We start from the raw sequence: 16050 nt of genomic DNA, 5'->3' as shown, positions 1-16050 counted from the left end.
GCTTCAAGGTATCATCCAATTTTGTTTGTTTGTTTGTTTTTTGTTTTCAGACAGAGTCTCACTCTGTCTGTGGTCCAGGCTGGGGTACAATGGCACAGTCTCGGCTCATTGCAACCTCCGCCTCCCAGGTTCAAGTGATTCTCCTGCCTCAGTCTTCCGAGTAGCTGGGACTACAGGTGCACACCGCCACAGCCAGCTAATTTTTTGTATTTTAGTAGAGATAGGATTTCACCGTGTTGCCCAGGCTGGTCTAGAACTCCTGAGCTCAGGCAATACACCTGCCTCGGCCTCCCAAAGTGGTAGGATTACAGGCGTCAGCCACCGCGCCCGGCCTCATCCAATTTTTAAAGCAGGGTCATTACACAATCAAATTTACACTTTAGGACAGTGACTCGGGAGAGAGGATAGAAGGTGGAGAGACATGGAGATTGTCAGGAAAACAACTCAGAAAGCCACCATATCAACCTATGTGAGAATTGGCAAAGGCCTGAGAGTAGCAGACCCTGCAGGTGCATAAGAACATGGCTTTGTTTGACAAGACAGAAAGATAAAAGATAAAGAGCAACAAGGATAACTGGCATTTCTAGTAGAACATTCAAAGAGATGTTAATGTCATTAACCATGTTAAGGAATAAAAGAGAAACAGTGTTTGTGTTTTAATCACTTTTTCCCCCGGAGTGAGAGGGAGGCTGAAAGTCCTAGTTTTAAAAATAATTTCTGGCTTTAAGTTATCTGTGGAATACCATGTTTATGCTCCAGGAGGTCCTCTGAAATCTGAGACTGGTCTTCAAAAGGCATGTGAATGACAGTTACAGATATAAGATTTGAGATGCTTTCTAAAAGTAGGTAATTTCACAGCCAGAAAGGCAAAGATGGAATCCAAATTCAGTTTCCAAATAAAATCAGCCTAGGAGGGATAGAGGAATGAGATAAGCAGCAAAAAGATGATGTCAACAAACCCAAAATTAGAATTCTAAATCTAATACCAATAGTGGTGTCTACACACACTCACAAATCACGAAACCTGTCAAATGATCAGTGTACCAATGGGCATGCTCAACAGCATACCCATGAAAAACAGGAGGAAAAGGAAGGGCAGCCAAGGAGCAAGTCGGTGCCAATGACGACTACATGTGACGTGACTGTAAAGGCCAGACCACAACCTCCAAAAGTCTGCACGAAAGAAATGAGCAGCCCAACCGGAAAACAGCAAGACCCAGGAAACAGCTCCATCCATTAGCTTACTGTTCAGATCCCGCCCCTCTAGACCAAGCTTTTGCCCAGAAAATCACAGGAGCTGCGGGACAGATTCACATACATTATCATTTAGTTATCCAAAGGGGGATACAGAGCAAAGAAGGTTCATAGAGAAGACACAAGAGGCAGAATCGAATGTGCAACACCAATGAAGTAACCAATTATCCTGGGTTCAAATATTCCAACCTGGCTAGGCACGGTGGCTCACGCCTGTAATCCCAGCATTTGGGAGGCCGAGCTGGGTGAATTACTTGAGGCCAGGAGTTTAAAGACCAGCCTGGCCAACATGGTGAAACCCCGTCTCTACTAAAAATACAAAAAAATTAGCCGAGCATGGTGGCACACGCCTGTAATCCCAGCTACTCGGGAGGCTGAGGCAGGAGAATTGCTTGAACCCGGGAGGGGGAGGTTGCAGTGAGCCGAGATCGTGCCACTGCACTCCACCCGGAGCAACAGAGCGAGACTCTGTCTCAAAATATATATATATATTCCAACCTACTGTGAACCCGTGTGTCCCAATTATGTTTAAAAAACAGGGAAACTAGAGACATAATGCAAGAGAAGATAGTCATCTGAAACTGGGAGAGGGGCAGGGGTAAAAGCAAAAAGCATGAAGCTACCAGATGCCTCAACTTCCAATTTGCACTAACTTCAACGGCAGCAGAACACTGCTTGGCACGCCCTACACTTTTGTGCATTTCAAACAACTTTTATGCCTTCCTTTTTTTCTTTTGCTGGAGTGACAAGGCACGACAGAACAATAACCTGAGCAAAGCTGGTACTTGGACTAGTTCTGTCTCCAGAGGCTATCCACATCACTGTTACCTTAACCAAACTCAATCTGCTCATGAGTAAAACGGACTTATCTTCATGGGCCCATTCCAGAAGTCTTTTCATTTATCTCCGCTCATTTTACCACAGCGGCAGACGCTGGCGGACACTCAACACATGCTACCATCCTGCCTTCCAGAAGACTTTATTACCTGTAATTCTGTAAGAAAGTCACTGACTTGGTTAGGCCTCCACTTCCCCACCTGTAAAACCCTACTGATGCCTCATAGGGTTGTCTTCGGACCACAGACTGCAATAAAAAATGTAAACGGCACTCGTTTTTAGGCCTGGCAAATAGGAGCTACTCCCATTCTACTCCCTAAAGGAATCGAAAACATGGAGAGGTTAAGTGACTGGCACCTAATCAGATCGGGTAAGGAACCCAACACCTACTGATCTCTTCCATCACCCACAGCCTGCCCAGCTCTCGCCGTGCCCTCCACCAGCGCCAGGCCTCCCACATCGCCTTAGGCTTCCCATGCTCAGAGGAGGGGCAGAGAAGCTACCGATGACACAGGGGCAGAGGGCAGCGAAAAATGACTTGCCCAAGGTCAAAACGTCAGAGTAGACGGGAAAGCCTGGCCTCCTAGCAGCCGAGGCCACGTCCCCGCGCTTGCCCCTTCAGCCCCGAGGACCCACACGCTGCGCCTTCCTGGCCTCGGGGGGCAGCGCGGGGGCCGCTCCCGACCGAGTTCAGTGAGCGCCCTGGCCTCCCCCGCGCACCCCCGCCGCGCCCTCCACCTGCCCACGGCCCGGACGGCCGAGCCCCCACGCCCGCGCTTGCCCGAGCCCAGCCTCGCGCCCCCGGGGCCCCCGCTGCCCCACCCCGGGCCCGGACCCCCCGCGCAGGACCCCGGAGGTTAAGTTTTCCACACGGCGGAGCCCCTCCCACACTCCCTGCCACGTCTGCGGCCTCACGCACTGTGGCGCTCCGGACCCGGACCCCGCTGCCGCCGCCGCCGGGCCCGCGCCGCCGGCCGCTCAGCCCAGCGTCCCCCGGCAGCGAGCTCCTCCTCTGGCCGGGACCTGGAGCCCGAGACGCCCGCCGACTTCCTCCGCGAGCTCCGCCCCGCCGCAGCCCCGGGAAGCGCCCGCCGCCGGAGCCGGACTGACGGCCCCCGCGACCAATCGGGACGCGAGACCGGAGGGGGCGTGCTGACGGACGGCCACTAACGCCAATCGAAATGCGCAATCGGTGGGGGCGCGGCCACAGCTACCGGGCCACGCCCCATCCGCGCTTCCGCTCGGGCCGGGGCGGAGCGGGAAACTTTCCCAGAGTTCCTTCGAGCTCCCCGAGTCCCCGCGGAGCAGCGGCGGTCGAGGGGCGGGGACGGGGGCGGAGCCCAGGAACGCCGGCCCCCAGGGGCTGGAGGCTGGGGCGGCCCTGAGGACGCGTGCGGGGCAGGTCACGCTTGGGCCTGGCTGCCTCAGGAGCCACCCTGCACGGCGCCGGGCGAGGCTGTGCGCGCCCTCCCGGACCCTCCACTTTGGGGCTTTGCGGTGTAGCGGCGCGCCCCACTCCCTTACGTGTTCAGTCCCGAATCACGTACGGGCCGCTGCAGCTCCAGGACGGCGGACGCCAGCGCTCTCGGATCCCCAGGCCCCTCCGTGCTCATCCCGGACCGCTCCGTCCCTGAGGAAAAACCGCCCCGTGCCCGGAACCGCGGCTTCTCCCACGCGGGGCAGGCCGGGGCTGTGAGGGGGCAGCCCGCCTGCGGACTAGGCCGGGGGTTTGAGGAGGCGGCTCTGCCGGGGACAAAGCCGGGGGCGTGAGGGGCGGTTCTGCCGGGTTCGGGGCGCGCGGGGCAGGTTGCGTGAAGAGGCGGAAAGTCCCACTCGCCCTCGGCTTCTCCCTGCCCGGCCGCCGGTGTCCCGCCCGCCGCCTCCCCGCGCAGCCCGGCCCGACCCGCGGCGATGGCCCAGCCCGGGGACCCGCGGCGCCTCTGCAGGCTGGTGCAGGAGGGCCGGCTGCGCGCCCTGAAGGAGGAGCTGCAGGCGGCCGGGGGCTGCCCGGGGCCGGCCGGGGATACCCTCCTGCACTGCGCCGCGCGCCACGGGCATCGGGACGTGCTGGCCTATCTGGCCGAGGCCTGGGGCATGGACATCGAGGCCACCAACCGAGACTACAAGCGGCCTCTGCACGAGGCGGCCTCCATGGGCCACCGAGACTGCGTGCGCTACCTGCTGGGCCGGGGGGCAGCGGTCGACTGCCTGAAGAAGGCCGACTGGTAGGTGTGGAGCGGAAAGACACCCCGCCTCCCCTCTACTCGCAGAGTCGTAGCGAGTTCCCTGTGCTTCTCCGTCCCCTTGGACACCGTAGCTGTTCTCAGCTCCTAGTTCTCACCCCAGGCCTGCTCAGCGGCAGGGACCTCCTGCCCAACTTTCCCTTATAACGCAGATGACCTGCAGAGTCCCTCGTTCCTGCCCTTGTGGGTTAACTGGTCGGGGCAGTCACCTCCCTTTCTAGAGCACGGAATAGTGTAGAATATAACCAAAGAGAATGTTACCAAACAATGAAGTGTGTGCACTATACAGATAGCCTCCGGATGCGATGTTCTGGGGACATTTAGCTAAGTTACTTCTGCACCAATGCATTGTTTCAAGTGGCATTGCTCCAATCAATATCCAGAATTCCTGAGTTATACACGCGCTCGTGTGTGTAGAGCACAGTGCAGTTGTATCACATACGTGCAGCCTTGCATAACCACCACAGTCAGAGATACTCTGCTCCACCATCACACAAGCCAATTGCATTTCGTTTGTTAGATTGACACTGATTTTAGTACTCACTAGGTCAGGTTCGTTAGAGGGCGTGAACATCTTTAGGAACATAGGGAAGTACATCTTCCCCACTGGGGCAGGGGAATAGACTTCGTTATGTGTTGAGGGTTGTCTGTGGGTTTTCTTAGCTCTGCTCCAATTCACTGCTATCCTGTGAACTAGCTTATAAGCTGCTTTGTCTCCCAGGCACCCTCTCCTCTAGGTACACGTTCGTTACAATCATTTTCCCCTTATTATTTCTCCCAGGGTCCTCACAGAAGGCACAGAGGTTGCCGGTCAAAGCTGTTTTCCTGCCTGCCAGACCCCTGAATCCTCTAGGTTTTCCATCTGTGCCAAGGATGTGTGTGTTTTGAAGACCTGGCCCCTGGCTTCTAATGTCTCAGCTGCCTCCATCTGACAGCTTCTCCTGGTTGGCCTTAGGACTCCTCTGATGATGGCCTGCACAAGGAAGAACCTGGGGGTGATCCAGGAGCTGGTGGAACATGGCGCCAATCCACTCCTGAAGAACAAAGATGGCTGGAACAGTTTCCACATTGCCAGTCGAGAAGGCGACCCTCTGATCCTCCAGTACCTGCTCACTGTTTGCCCAGGTGCCTGGAAGACAGAGAGCAAAATTAGAAGGACTCCTCTGCATACTGCAGGTACAGCCTACAGCTCTGCAGGTGAGCAGTACACACATGTGGCTGCTTCACCCAGCACTGCCCAACCGCATCTTGTTCAGGTCACCTTCAGGGGAAAGGAGGATTTTGGAAAACAGAAGGCAGAGAATAAGAACATCTGGGGGGGAGGGGGTGGGGGCGGGGGCGCGGGTGCAGTGGCTCACGCCTGTAATCCCAGCACTTTGGGAGGCCGGAGGCGGGTGGATCACCTGAGGTCAGGCGTTCAAGACCAGCCTGGCCAACATGGTGAAACGCCGTCTCTACTAAAAATACAAAAAATTAGCCGGGCGTGGTGGCGGCTGCTTGTAATCCCAGCTACTGGGGAGCTCCAGAGTCTGAGGCAGGAGAATGGCTTGAACCCAGGAGGCAGAGGTTGTACTAAGCCAAGATTGCACTACATTACACTACAGCCTGGGCAACAAGAGCAAAACTCCATCTCAAAAAAAAAAAAAAAGCATCTAGGGGCCTTTTGGCATATAATCAATTTCTAAAGTTAACATAACTTGGCTAGCATGCTGTGGTATTAATTTATTTTTCGTGTGTATCTGTGTTATCCTCCCTAGATTATTTGCCCATGAGCTGGTTCTGTAGCACATAGTCTTTGACCTTGGGTAAGGAAATTAGTCTCTCTCTTGAGCAAGTTTCCTCATCAACCAAATAATAATGTCAGTGATGGTATGTCTCAGGGTTGTTGTAGAGTTTAAAGAGCATGATGTATGTAAATCCTTTAGACAATGCTTGGCACATAGCACAAAATAACTGGTTAGTGCTATTTTCTTTATCATGTTTACATTCTTACTCTTAAAGGCAGGAGGGAAATATATATCCTCATAGCCTTAGTAACACCTACCATAGTGCTATACTTTTAAATAAATATAGATACTCATAATTAAATACCTTGGCCCAATAACATCTAATGTAAATTTGGGTTACAGTTTTTATTATTTGGAGTAGTGACTCTTAACTCTGAATTATCTATTTGTAGATTATTTTAGTAAAAAGTTTCAATTTGCTCATTTGTTTGAAGAAAGTAAAAAGAAAACAATTAGTAAAAAGTAAAATTACTGTAATTTCAGAAGTTAGATATTAAGGAGCTCAAGAGTCTAGATTAAGAAATTCAGAATATAACTTGTAGCTTTCTAGGTAGTACATTGATTAGGATAGAGGGCTTTTAGTTTCTCTAAAAATCATCACTTGTGATGTTTTATAGTGTTGCTTTTTGTCTTTTGTTTTTTTTTGAGACAGAGTCTTGCTCTGTCACCCAGGCTGGAATACAGTGGCACGATCTCGGCTCACTGCAACCTCTGCCTCGCAGGTTCAAGCAATTCACGTGCCTCAGTCTCCCGAGAAGCTGGGATTACTGGCGCATGCCACCATGCCCAGCTAATTTTCATATTTTTAGTAGAGATGGGGTTTCCCCTTGTTGGCCAGGCTGGTCTTGAACTCCTGACCTGAAGTGATCCACCCACCTTGGCCTCCCAAAGTGCTGGGATTACAGGCATGAGCCACAGTTGGCAATTAGGGACCAAGGAATCATTTCTAAAACTTCTTAAGTAAGTAGAAAACTTTTTTTTAGCTCATGAATTATTTGACCAGTTTCTCCCCTGGAGAAACAATCAGCACTCCATCATTCACCCAAAATAGTGGAAGACAAATAGTCATAACCTTTGAGTATAGTTACTTTTAGTAGGGGAATTAAATCCAGGCTATTTTGCCATGGATTACTGTTACAATATTTTGCATTTCCTGGGCAAAAATGGACTAGTCTTGGGGATCCACAGCACAGAAGTGTAACTTTAGGATTGAAAGTTTCCCATGAAAGTGCACGTGAAGATAAGATAATCAAGTGTTGGCTGTGTACATATAAAGTGAAAACATTATTGTTTACCGCTTTATCCAGTTAAATATTTATTCGTGTAGGGCGGTAACAGTGTACCCAATTTAATGACTCCTTCTTGTAAGCTATCACTAATAGAACGGGGCAGAGAGCAAAGCCAGGAGGCAGGAAGCATTTTGTGTGTGCACTAAAAAGCTCTAATTCTCAGCTTTCTTTCTCCTCCCAGCAATGCATGGCCATTTGGAGGCAGTCAAGGTGCTTCTTAAGAGGTAAGAACAATACAGCAAGTCAGGGAAAATATTTGCTAACTATGACAAAGAGTTGATATCAGTGCTACATAAAGAGCTCAGACACATTTTTAAGAAAAAAATTAGGCTTTCAAAAGAAAAATGAACAAAAGACATAGCAGATAAAGAATATGAAACAAAAATAACAAATATCTGGGGAAAATGTTTTCAGCGGCAAAATCATCCATTTCTCTATTTTTTTCAACGAGCATTTATACATTCATTTAGTGCTCGGTGGCTCACGCCTGTAATCCCAGCACTTTGCGAGGCCGAGGCGGGCGGATCACAAGGTCAGAAGATCGAGACCATCCTGGCTAACACAGCGAAACCCTGTCTCTACTAAAAATTCAAAAAAAATTAGCCGGGCGTGGTGGCGGGCGCCTGTAGTCCCAGCTACTCAGGAAGCTGAGGCAGGAGAATGGCGTGAACCCAAGAGGCGGAGCTTGCAGTGAGCCGAGATCGCGCCACTGCAGTCCAGCCTTGGCAACAGAGCAAGACTCTGTCTCAAAAAAAAATAAATAAAAAATAAATAAAGCCCTGTACCAGGTGCAAGGGCCACAACAGAAAGAAGACACATGTAGTTTCTACCCTCCTGGAACTCAACAGACTGGCAGGAAAGACAGACCATGAAGGAGTCCCGAAAGTCTGTTGTGCATTACAAGGACTTGCAGGATCCCTACAGAACAAATAATGGGAAGACCCAATTTGGCTTAAGAGTAAAGAATCTCAGCGCCAGTGTTTAAGCTGTGACCTGAAGGAGAAAAAGAAATTAGCTGAAAGCGGGAGGCAAGGGACCATTCCAGACAGCAATAACAGCACCCACGGATGCTCCAAACCAGGAACAACTGTGGTACATTTAAGAAAACAAAAGACGCCTAGAATATGCTGAGCCTGAACAGTGAAGGGGTGGGAGAATGAATGCTATCAGCCACATTGAGGATTTTCCTTTTTTTTTTTTTTTTTTTAGTTTTTGAGATGGAGTTTTGCTTTTGTCACCCAGGCTGGACTGCAATGGTGCAATCTCAGCTCACTGCAACCTCCACCTCCCAGGTTCAAGCGATTCTCCTGCCTCAACCTCCTAAGTAGCTGGGATTGCAGGTGCATGCCACCATACCTGGCTAATTTTTTATATTTTTGGTAGAGACGGGGTTTCACCACATTGGCCAGGCTGGTCTTGAACTCCTGACCTCAGGTGATCCACCCACCTCGGCCTCCCAAAGTGCTGGGATTACAGTCGTGAGCCACTGTGCCCAGCTCAGACACAGATGTCTTAAATATTTTGGCTGTGGAATTGAAGGATGGGGGTAATCAATTGATTATGAAGGATGCAGGAAAGGCAGTGGCAAGGGGTGGCTTCCAGGTCTCTGGTGCAGGAAGCTGAAGAGACCAAGTGCTGTCAAATGGGATGGAGAAGGTTAGAGGAGCAGCAGGTCTGCTAGGGAAGACCATCACGCTCCTGAAGGCTTAGTGCTCAGTTCGGACACTGAGATGGGGGAGAATAGAGAGAGCTCCATGCTCACAGGTCATTTGCACACACGCAGTTCACCTGCAGGTGATCAGGTGTCAACTGTCCCCTGGGTTTGAGGTATTGAATTTTCTCAGCTCTTACTTGGGGTTTTGGCTCTAGGTGCCAATATGAACCAGACTACAGAGACAACTGTGGCGTCACCGCCTTGATGGACGCAATCCAGTGTGGGCACATCGACGTCGCTAGGCTGCTCCTCGATGAACATGGGGTATAAAAATGGTTGTGTTTTTATTCTTTTGGTTCTTCCTATAAATTTTAGGTCACAGGTTAAGCAGAGCACATTGTTACTCAGATCCCAGGTTCCATTCCCCAGCCCCTCCAAACTCTCTCTCTGGAACTTGGTGACCTCTTTAAGCACCAGTGTTCCCATCTGTAAAATGGAGAGAAATGTAGTTTCTTCAGAAAGTTTTACAAGGATTAAATAATATAATGTACATAAAGCAGTTAGCAAAATATTCAGTAAATGGTAGCTGTTTTATAGCAATAATAACAACAAACTGTCTCTGCTGATAGTGCTTTTGGCACCATAGCCTGGAACATTGAATCATAACCATCTTTTTGATTAGAGAGCCCTTTTTTGAGAGCAGGGCGTGATGGCTCATGCCTGTAATCCCAGCACTTTGGGAGGCCAAAGCGGGTGGGTCATCTAAGGTCAGGAATTTGAGACCAGCCTAGCCAACATGTTAAAACCCATCTCTACTAAAAATATAAAAATTAGCCAGGTGTGGTGGCACACACCTGAGGCTGAAGCAAGAGACTCGCTTGAACCAAGGAGATGGAGGTTGTAGTGAGCCAAGATTGTGCCACTGCACTCCACCCTGAGCAACAGAGTGAGACTTCGTCTCAAAAAAAAAGAATCCTTTGAAAATCAGACAAAAGCCACATATCCTCTGCCCAGAGAGTTGTGCGTAAACAGCTCAGTTTTGCTGAAGTGCCAGCAGATGCCCAGATCTAAGTTGCCCTGTTTCTTATCTTTGACCTTTGCTCCTTTCTCTCCTCTGCCCACTAGGCTTGCCTTTCAGCAGAAGACAGCCTGGGTGCCCAGGCTCTGCACAGGGCAGCTGTCACAGGGCAGGACGAAGCCATCCGATTCTTGGTCTCTGAACTTGGCGTCGATGTAGATGTGAGAGCCACATCAACCCACCTCACAGCACTTCATTATGCAGCTAAGGTTTGTTACTTCTTATAACGTTGTCCGAGCTTCCCTGAGGCTTGCCTTACTTCTTTGATCAGTAGCTCTGCAGCCTGGTTTCTTTGACCCCATCTCTATGGAAGAAATTGCCCATGATATTCTTCTGAAATGGTCAGGATTCTGAAGCGCTTTATCTCTTTAAATAGAAACCTGACTTGAATTTGTTGCTAGACAAAACTTTAAAAAAAAGCCTTTTACTCCATAAAGTGCCTCCCCCTCACACACAGGTTTTTGTTTTCAGGAATAACGTTATTTGAAGCTATAAATACCCATTGTATGAAATTCCTGGCTCTCTGTTCTTATACTGGATTTCAGAAGTTAAGAACTCTTCAGCCAGGGCAAGAGAATTGCATTTACTAGGCTCTCTGGGGTATATTGAAGATAAGCAAACATTTTCACTGGAAAAGTAGCTGTTTTAAATGCTAGGAGCGTTTTGCATATTATCCTTAACATTATCTATTGGCTTTATGCTTTTACTTATTTTTTGTTTTTTTTTTTTGGTTTGTTTGTTTGTTTTTGTTTTTGTTTTGAGATAAAGTCTTGCTTTTTTGCCCAGGCTGGATTACAGGTGCCTGCCACCATGCCTGGCTAATTTTTGTATTCTTGGTAGAGACGGGGTTTCACCACGTTGGCCAGGTTGGTCTCGAACTTTTGACCTTGTGATCCACCCACCTCGGCCTCCCAAAGTGCTGGGATTACAGGCGTGAGCCACCATGCCCGGCCTACTTGTTTTTCTGATCAATTACATTTTCCTGCCTGATGTCCTGCTTTCGAGCAGCTGGGTAGATACACATGATGTGCTCTGTGGCCGCAGGGTGCTCCCATAGGAAGAGTGAACCTGGAACCTTAACTGTAGTCTCATCACATAGTAGCAGACTAACTGGCTAGACAAAGAGTGTATAAATTATTTTATAGGCCAGGCGCAGTGGCTCACTCCTGTAATCCCAGCACTTTGGGAGGCCAAGGCGGGCGGATCACGGGGTCAAGAGATCGAGACCGGCCAGGCGCAGTGGCTCAAGCCTGTAATCCCAGCACTTTGGGAGGCTGAGGCAGGTGGATCGTGAGGTCAGGAGATCGAGACCATCCTGGCTAACACGGTGAAACCCCGTCTCTACTAAAAATACAAAAAATTAGCCGGGCATGGTGGCAGGTGCCTGTAGTCCCAGCTACTAGGGAGACTGAGGCAGGAGAATGGTGTGAACCTGGGAGGAGGAGCTTGCAGTGAGCCGAGATCGCACCACCGCACTCCAGCCTGGACGACAGAGTGAGACTGTGTCAAAAAAAAAAAAAAAAAATCAAGACCATCCTGGCCAACATGGTGAAACCCTGTCTCTACTAAAAAATACAAAAAAATTAGCTGGGGGTGGTGACACATGCCACTAGTCCCAGCTACTCAGGAGGCTGAGGCAGAAGGATCGCTTGAACCCGGGAGGTGGAGGTTGCAGTGAGCCAAGATCATGCCACTGCACCCCAGCCAAGCAACAGAGTGAGACTACATCTCAAATATATATATATATATATATATATATATATATATATATATATAAATAATATTTTTATTTTATAAAATATTTATTATAATAATTCCTACTAGCTGTAATAGGAATTCCCATTTATGAGCGGTTATGATCTTTTCTAGTTTATCTCTCCCCTAAAGATTTCAACAAAGAGTATATTTGCTTGGGAAATTTTAGAGTTTTGGGTTCTGTATAAATCACAAGATTTGTACTGCTCACAATGATGGAAACTAACTGCATTGGGTCAGTAATTTGGCTCACAGAGTTGATCATCTATATTCTAATAATTAAATGTCACCAAAATATTTATTTAATGATTTATATTAGAATTGAGAATGATACAATATCTTACTTTAGATATGAAAATTTGGCTGGGCGCAGTGGCTCACACCTGTAATCCCAACACTTTGGGAGGCTGAGACAGGAGGATCCCTTGAGCCCAGAAGTTTGTGATCAGTCTGGACAACATAGTGAGACCTTGTCTCTACAAAAAAAAAAAAAAGAATAAATTAGGGAAAAAAAGATGAAAATTCACTTTTAGCAGTCGACTGTTTTAGAAAAGGTGCCTAATATATGTTAGAGTCTGTGTTTAAAGTGTGAAAGGAAAATAAAAACGTAAGACCCCCAACTCACTCTGCCAAAAGAAAAAAAATTAAGCTGAAAGCTGAGTCATGCAGAAAGCTGCCTTTCCTTTTGTTCCTAAGCAGATAGCTACAGATAAAGGGTTAAATATTTCCACAGGTAGCTACTTTATATTCACCTTATCTTATGTAAAGTGCCAATTTACTGAGTGGAAAGAGATATTTAATGTATCATTGCCTAATCCCCCCCCTGCTCCTTTTATCCTGCAATGTGGATTCAGTAATGTGACCATACCCTCCTCCTCTTCACTCCAGCCCTCTTTTCCCCTTTAAATATTGAAGCCCTCAAAATCATCTTTGGAGAGAGACACAGACCTGTCTCTCAGGTATGTCCTTAACCTTGGCAAAATAAACTTCTAAATTGATTGAGACCTGTCTCAGATACTTTTTGGTTTGCAAAAGGTTTTCTTTTATCCTCATCACAGTGATAACAAATTTGTTTCAATTCAGGAAGGACATACAAGTACAATTCAGACTCTCTTATCCTTGGGAGCTGACATCAATTCTAAAGATGAAAAAAATCGATCAGGTACCGTTTAATTTTATATATGCCTTGGAAATTAGTAAACTGAGTATAACCAATACACTTTTATATTTAAAACAATGATTTTAATATTCTTCCTTTTTTTTTTTTTTTTTTTTTTTTTTTTTAGTGGTGGTGGTGTTGAGACAAGAGTTTCCCTCTGTTGCCCAGGCTGGAGTGCAGTGGCACGCCATCTCAGCTCTCTGCAACATCCACCTCCTGGCTCAAGTGATTCTCATGTCTCAGCCTCCCAAGTAGCTGGAATTACAGGCATGCACCACCATGCCTGGCTAATTTTTGTATTTTTAGTACAGATGGGGTTTCCCTATGTTGGCCAGGCTGGTCTTGAACTCCTGACCTCAAACAATCTACCTGCCTTGGCCTCCCAAAGTGCTGGGATTACAGGCATGAGCCACTGTGACCAGCCTTAATGTTATTCTTCTAATAGCTCAGCTACTTTTCCTTAAAATATCTTTTTCTCTGCAAAGCCTTCATATAATTGTTATTATAACAGTGATGATGACTGCCACTCATTACAACTGCTGTTGTTAATCTTTGTTGTTATTTTAAACCATAACAATATATGCATCATAAAAGCAGTTTCTTTCTAATCCATGATGACACCTGCTAGCCAGGTATCGTATCAATTCTTCACAGGTCATCCATTTTGGAGTATATTTAGAAACTATATTCATTATGATTTTTTTTATTTAGAATATTCAGAAACATCTGCTGAGAGCAAATTCTTTAGACTTGGACTTTAAAATAAACCCTCTAACATTCTGTGAGCCAAAGGCCATCTTGCAAGGGTTTAGTGGAATTTTTTTTTTTTTTTGGAGACAAAGTCTCGCTCTGTCACCCAGTCTGGAGGGCAGTGGCACGATCTTGGCTCACTGCAACCTCCACCTCCTGGGTTCAAGCGATTCTTCTGCCTCCCAAGTAGCTGGGACTACGGGTGCCCACCACCATGCCCAGCTAATTTTTGTATTTTTAGTAGAGACAGGGTTTCACCATGTTGGCCAGACTGGTCTCAAACTCCTGACCTCAAGTGATCTGCCCACCTCGCCCTCCCAAAGTGCAGGGATTACAGGCATGAGCCACCGCGCCTGGCCTAGTGGGATCTTTCTGATGCTTCAAAGACTCGCAGGTACCTAACTACTCACTCTAGGGCTGGAAAGGGCAGCTGCTCTGCCCAGGAAGGGACACAGCTTCTCTGCTGGAGGGAAAGCAGCAGAATCACCAGTGCCCCTGAACTCAGCACACCAGGAACCTCAGTGCTGATTTCTGCACCCAGAGTGGGAAGCTTGTTCAAAAGTGTTTTTTTGGCTACGTGATTATTTGTGGTGATATTTTTACTTACAAAGCAAATTCAATAAGCCTTTTAGAAAGTTTTTTGTACCATTTAAAGTGTGTTTCCAGAGCATTCAGGCGTATGAAGAGGATGTATCCTATATCTTGTTAACTTGCTCTGTTGCTTCTTGCTTTAGATAAGTTTCTTTTTCTTTTTTTTTTTTTTTTGAGGCAGAGTCTTGCTCTGTCACCCAGGCTGGCGTGCAGTGCTCACTGCAACCGCCACCTCCTGGGTTCAAGCGATTTTCCTGCCTCAGCCTCCCGAGTAGCTGGGATTACAGGCATGCACCACCACGCCCGGCTAATTTTTTAATTTTTATTAGAGATGGGGTTTCACCATGTTGGTCAGGCTAGTCTCACACTCTTGACCTCATGATCTGCCTACCTCAGCCTCCCAGAGTGCTGGGATTACAGGCATGAGCCACCACGCCCAGCCTAGATAAATTTCTTAAATCCTCTCTAACTGGTTTTGTTATCTTTAAAACTATTTTCAACCCAATCAGGTTAGAAACAAAAATATTTTGATCTAGTATAGGTGAAGTTGTGAAGATGGATTACGGAAGATATTGAAAGAATTGATATTTTTATTGGGCACTATCAACTCATGAGGTCAGTATTGCTCCAGGGATTGTGTTTTAAGTCCATGTGATTTTTGTCACCCCTCAGCCCTGCATCTGGCCTGTGCAGGTCAGCACTTGGCCTGTGCCAAGTTTCTCCTGCAGTCGGGACTGAAGGATTCTGAAGACATCACGGGCACCCTGGCTCAGCAGCTCCCAAGGAGAGCAGATGTCCTTCAGGGCTCTGGCCATAGCGCAATGACATAAGGATGTTTCCAAGAGGAGGCAATAAAGTGCATGGTAATTCATATCCTGCTTCTTAAGTCAGTCACAGATTCAGCGAAACCAGTTGGAAGCCAGTTTTCCATCTCCTCCACTTCCTCCCTTCCCTCATCCTGCATGTTCCACTCCTGCTGAGGAGTTCCCAGTGATCAGGGGGCTGAGTTCCCAGCTCCATGACAGGCACATTATGGAGTCCCAAGCACAGTCATAATCTTCCCGTAGTCCATATTTCACTCTTTGTACTCTTAAAGTAGAATAGATAACGTTTGCGCGATCAGGCTGTGGGATCCTTAGAGAAGCATGTACCATGCATGAATATAATATAGCATACACACTTTCACAAACATATGAAATATCTTATAGTAACTGCTGCATGGTAAGGCTGTGATAATAATAACAAAAATATCACATACGTTGCTATTAGCTTGAGCTATAAAATGCAGTTGGCCCATTTAATTTCTTCCTTCATAAGCTTTTACTTGGCCATTACAATGGTTCACTTTTGGTTTCGTAGCCAAGAAGGACATACTTATAATCTGTTTACACAGGCATTTACAAGAAATTAATAAAAACTTTTATATATTCTAAGCACTGCTAGTTAAGCTATCAAGTTTTAATCTTGAGGGTTTTTGTTTGTTTTAATAGATAAATTCAGTATTGACCCCCTTCAAGTAATAAATACATGTAAAAAATGTAACTAAGGACCGGGCATGGTGGCCCGTGCCTGTAATCCCAGCACTTTGGGAGGCTGAGGCAGACAGATCACTTGAGGCCGGGAGTTCAAGACCAGCCTGGCCAACATGATAAA

General features: G+C 47.4%; 2 protein-coding genes across 21 annotated transcripts in view, besides 4 other annotated features; one reads left to right on the top strand and one right to left on the bottom strand.

Annotated features, from left to right (window-relative positions):
- The window catches only part of FBH1 (F-box DNA helicase 1), a 48022-nt gene extending 44237 nt beyond the window's left edge, over positions 1 to 3785 (bottom strand). For 15 of the 18 annotated variants that reach the window (XM_047425892.1, XM_047425900.1, XM_047425896.1 and 12 more), the window contains exon 1: positions 3011 to 3114. Coding sequence is in view for 2 of the 18 variants with exons in the window: in XM_017016844.3 (XP_016872333.1) it covers position 3011 (1 nt within the window). In the remaining 16 variants the exon portion in view is untranslated. Of the gene's footprint in view, positions 1 to 2240; positions 2683 to 3010; positions 3115 to 3615 lie in introns of those variants that run through there. The other 3 variants (NM_001258453.2, NM_001258452.2, XM_047425897.1) reach the window with 3 other exon arrangements.
- Positions 2682 to 2731: a silencer, noted in NCBI's record as "silent region_2092". NCBI's record gives its function as "represses an Ori minimal core promoter by ATAC-STARR-seq in GM12878 lymphoblastoid cells {active_cell/tissue: GM12878}" and the evidence as "EXISTENCE:reporter gene assay evidence [ECO:0000049][PMID:35858748]".
- Positions 2922 to 3641: a silencer, noted in NCBI's record as "silent region_2091". NCBI's record gives its function as "represses an Ori minimal core promoter by ATAC-STARR-seq in GM12878 lymphoblastoid cells {active_cell/tissue: GM12878}" and the evidence as "EXISTENCE:reporter gene assay evidence [ECO:0000049][PMID:35858748]".
- Positions 3464 to 16050, top strand: part of ANKRD16 (ankyrin repeat domain 16) — a 28278-nt gene continuing 15691 nt past the window's right edge. Inside the window, exons 1-7 of one of the 3 annotated variants that reach the window (NM_019046.3) lie at positions 3464 to 4316; positions 5290 to 5510; positions 7592 to 7634; positions 9280 to 9388; positions 10190 to 10351; positions 12981 to 13059; positions 15070 to 15260. In NM_019046.3, the coding sequence (NP_061919.1) occupies positions 4003 to 4316; positions 5290 to 5510; positions 7592 to 7634; positions 9280 to 9388; positions 10190 to 10351; positions 12981 to 13059; positions 15070 to 15227 (1086 nt within the window). In that variant the 5' untranslated portion in view covers positions 3464 to 4002 and the 3' untranslated portion in view covers positions 15228 to 15260. Of the gene's footprint in view, positions 4317 to 5289; positions 5511 to 7591; positions 7635 to 9279; positions 9389 to 10189; positions 10352 to 12980; positions 13060 to 15069; positions 15269 to 16050 lie in introns of those variants that run through there. The other 2 variants (NM_001009941.3, NM_001009943.3) reach the window with 2 other exon arrangements.
- Positions 3782 to 3891: a silencer, noted in NCBI's record as "silent region_2090". NCBI's record gives its function as "represses an Ori minimal core promoter by ATAC-STARR-seq in GM12878 lymphoblastoid cells {active_cell/tissue: GM12878}" and the evidence as "EXISTENCE:reporter gene assay evidence [ECO:0000049][PMID:35858748]".
- Positions 3902 to 4181: a silencer, noted in NCBI's record as "silent region_2089". NCBI's record gives its function as "represses an Ori minimal core promoter by ATAC-STARR-seq in GM12878 lymphoblastoid cells {active_cell/tissue: GM12878}" and the evidence as "EXISTENCE:reporter gene assay evidence [ECO:0000049][PMID:35858748]".

Source organism: Homo sapiens, chromosome 10 (assembly GCF_000001405.40).
Source record: "Homo sapiens chromosome 10, GRCh38.p14 Primary Assembly".
NCBI lineage: Eukaryota > Metazoa > Chordata > Mammalia > Primates > Hominidae > Homo > Homo sapiens.
The sequence above is the reverse complement of the archived record's forward strand: the minus strand, read 5'-3'. Positions and strand labels throughout refer to the sequence as shown.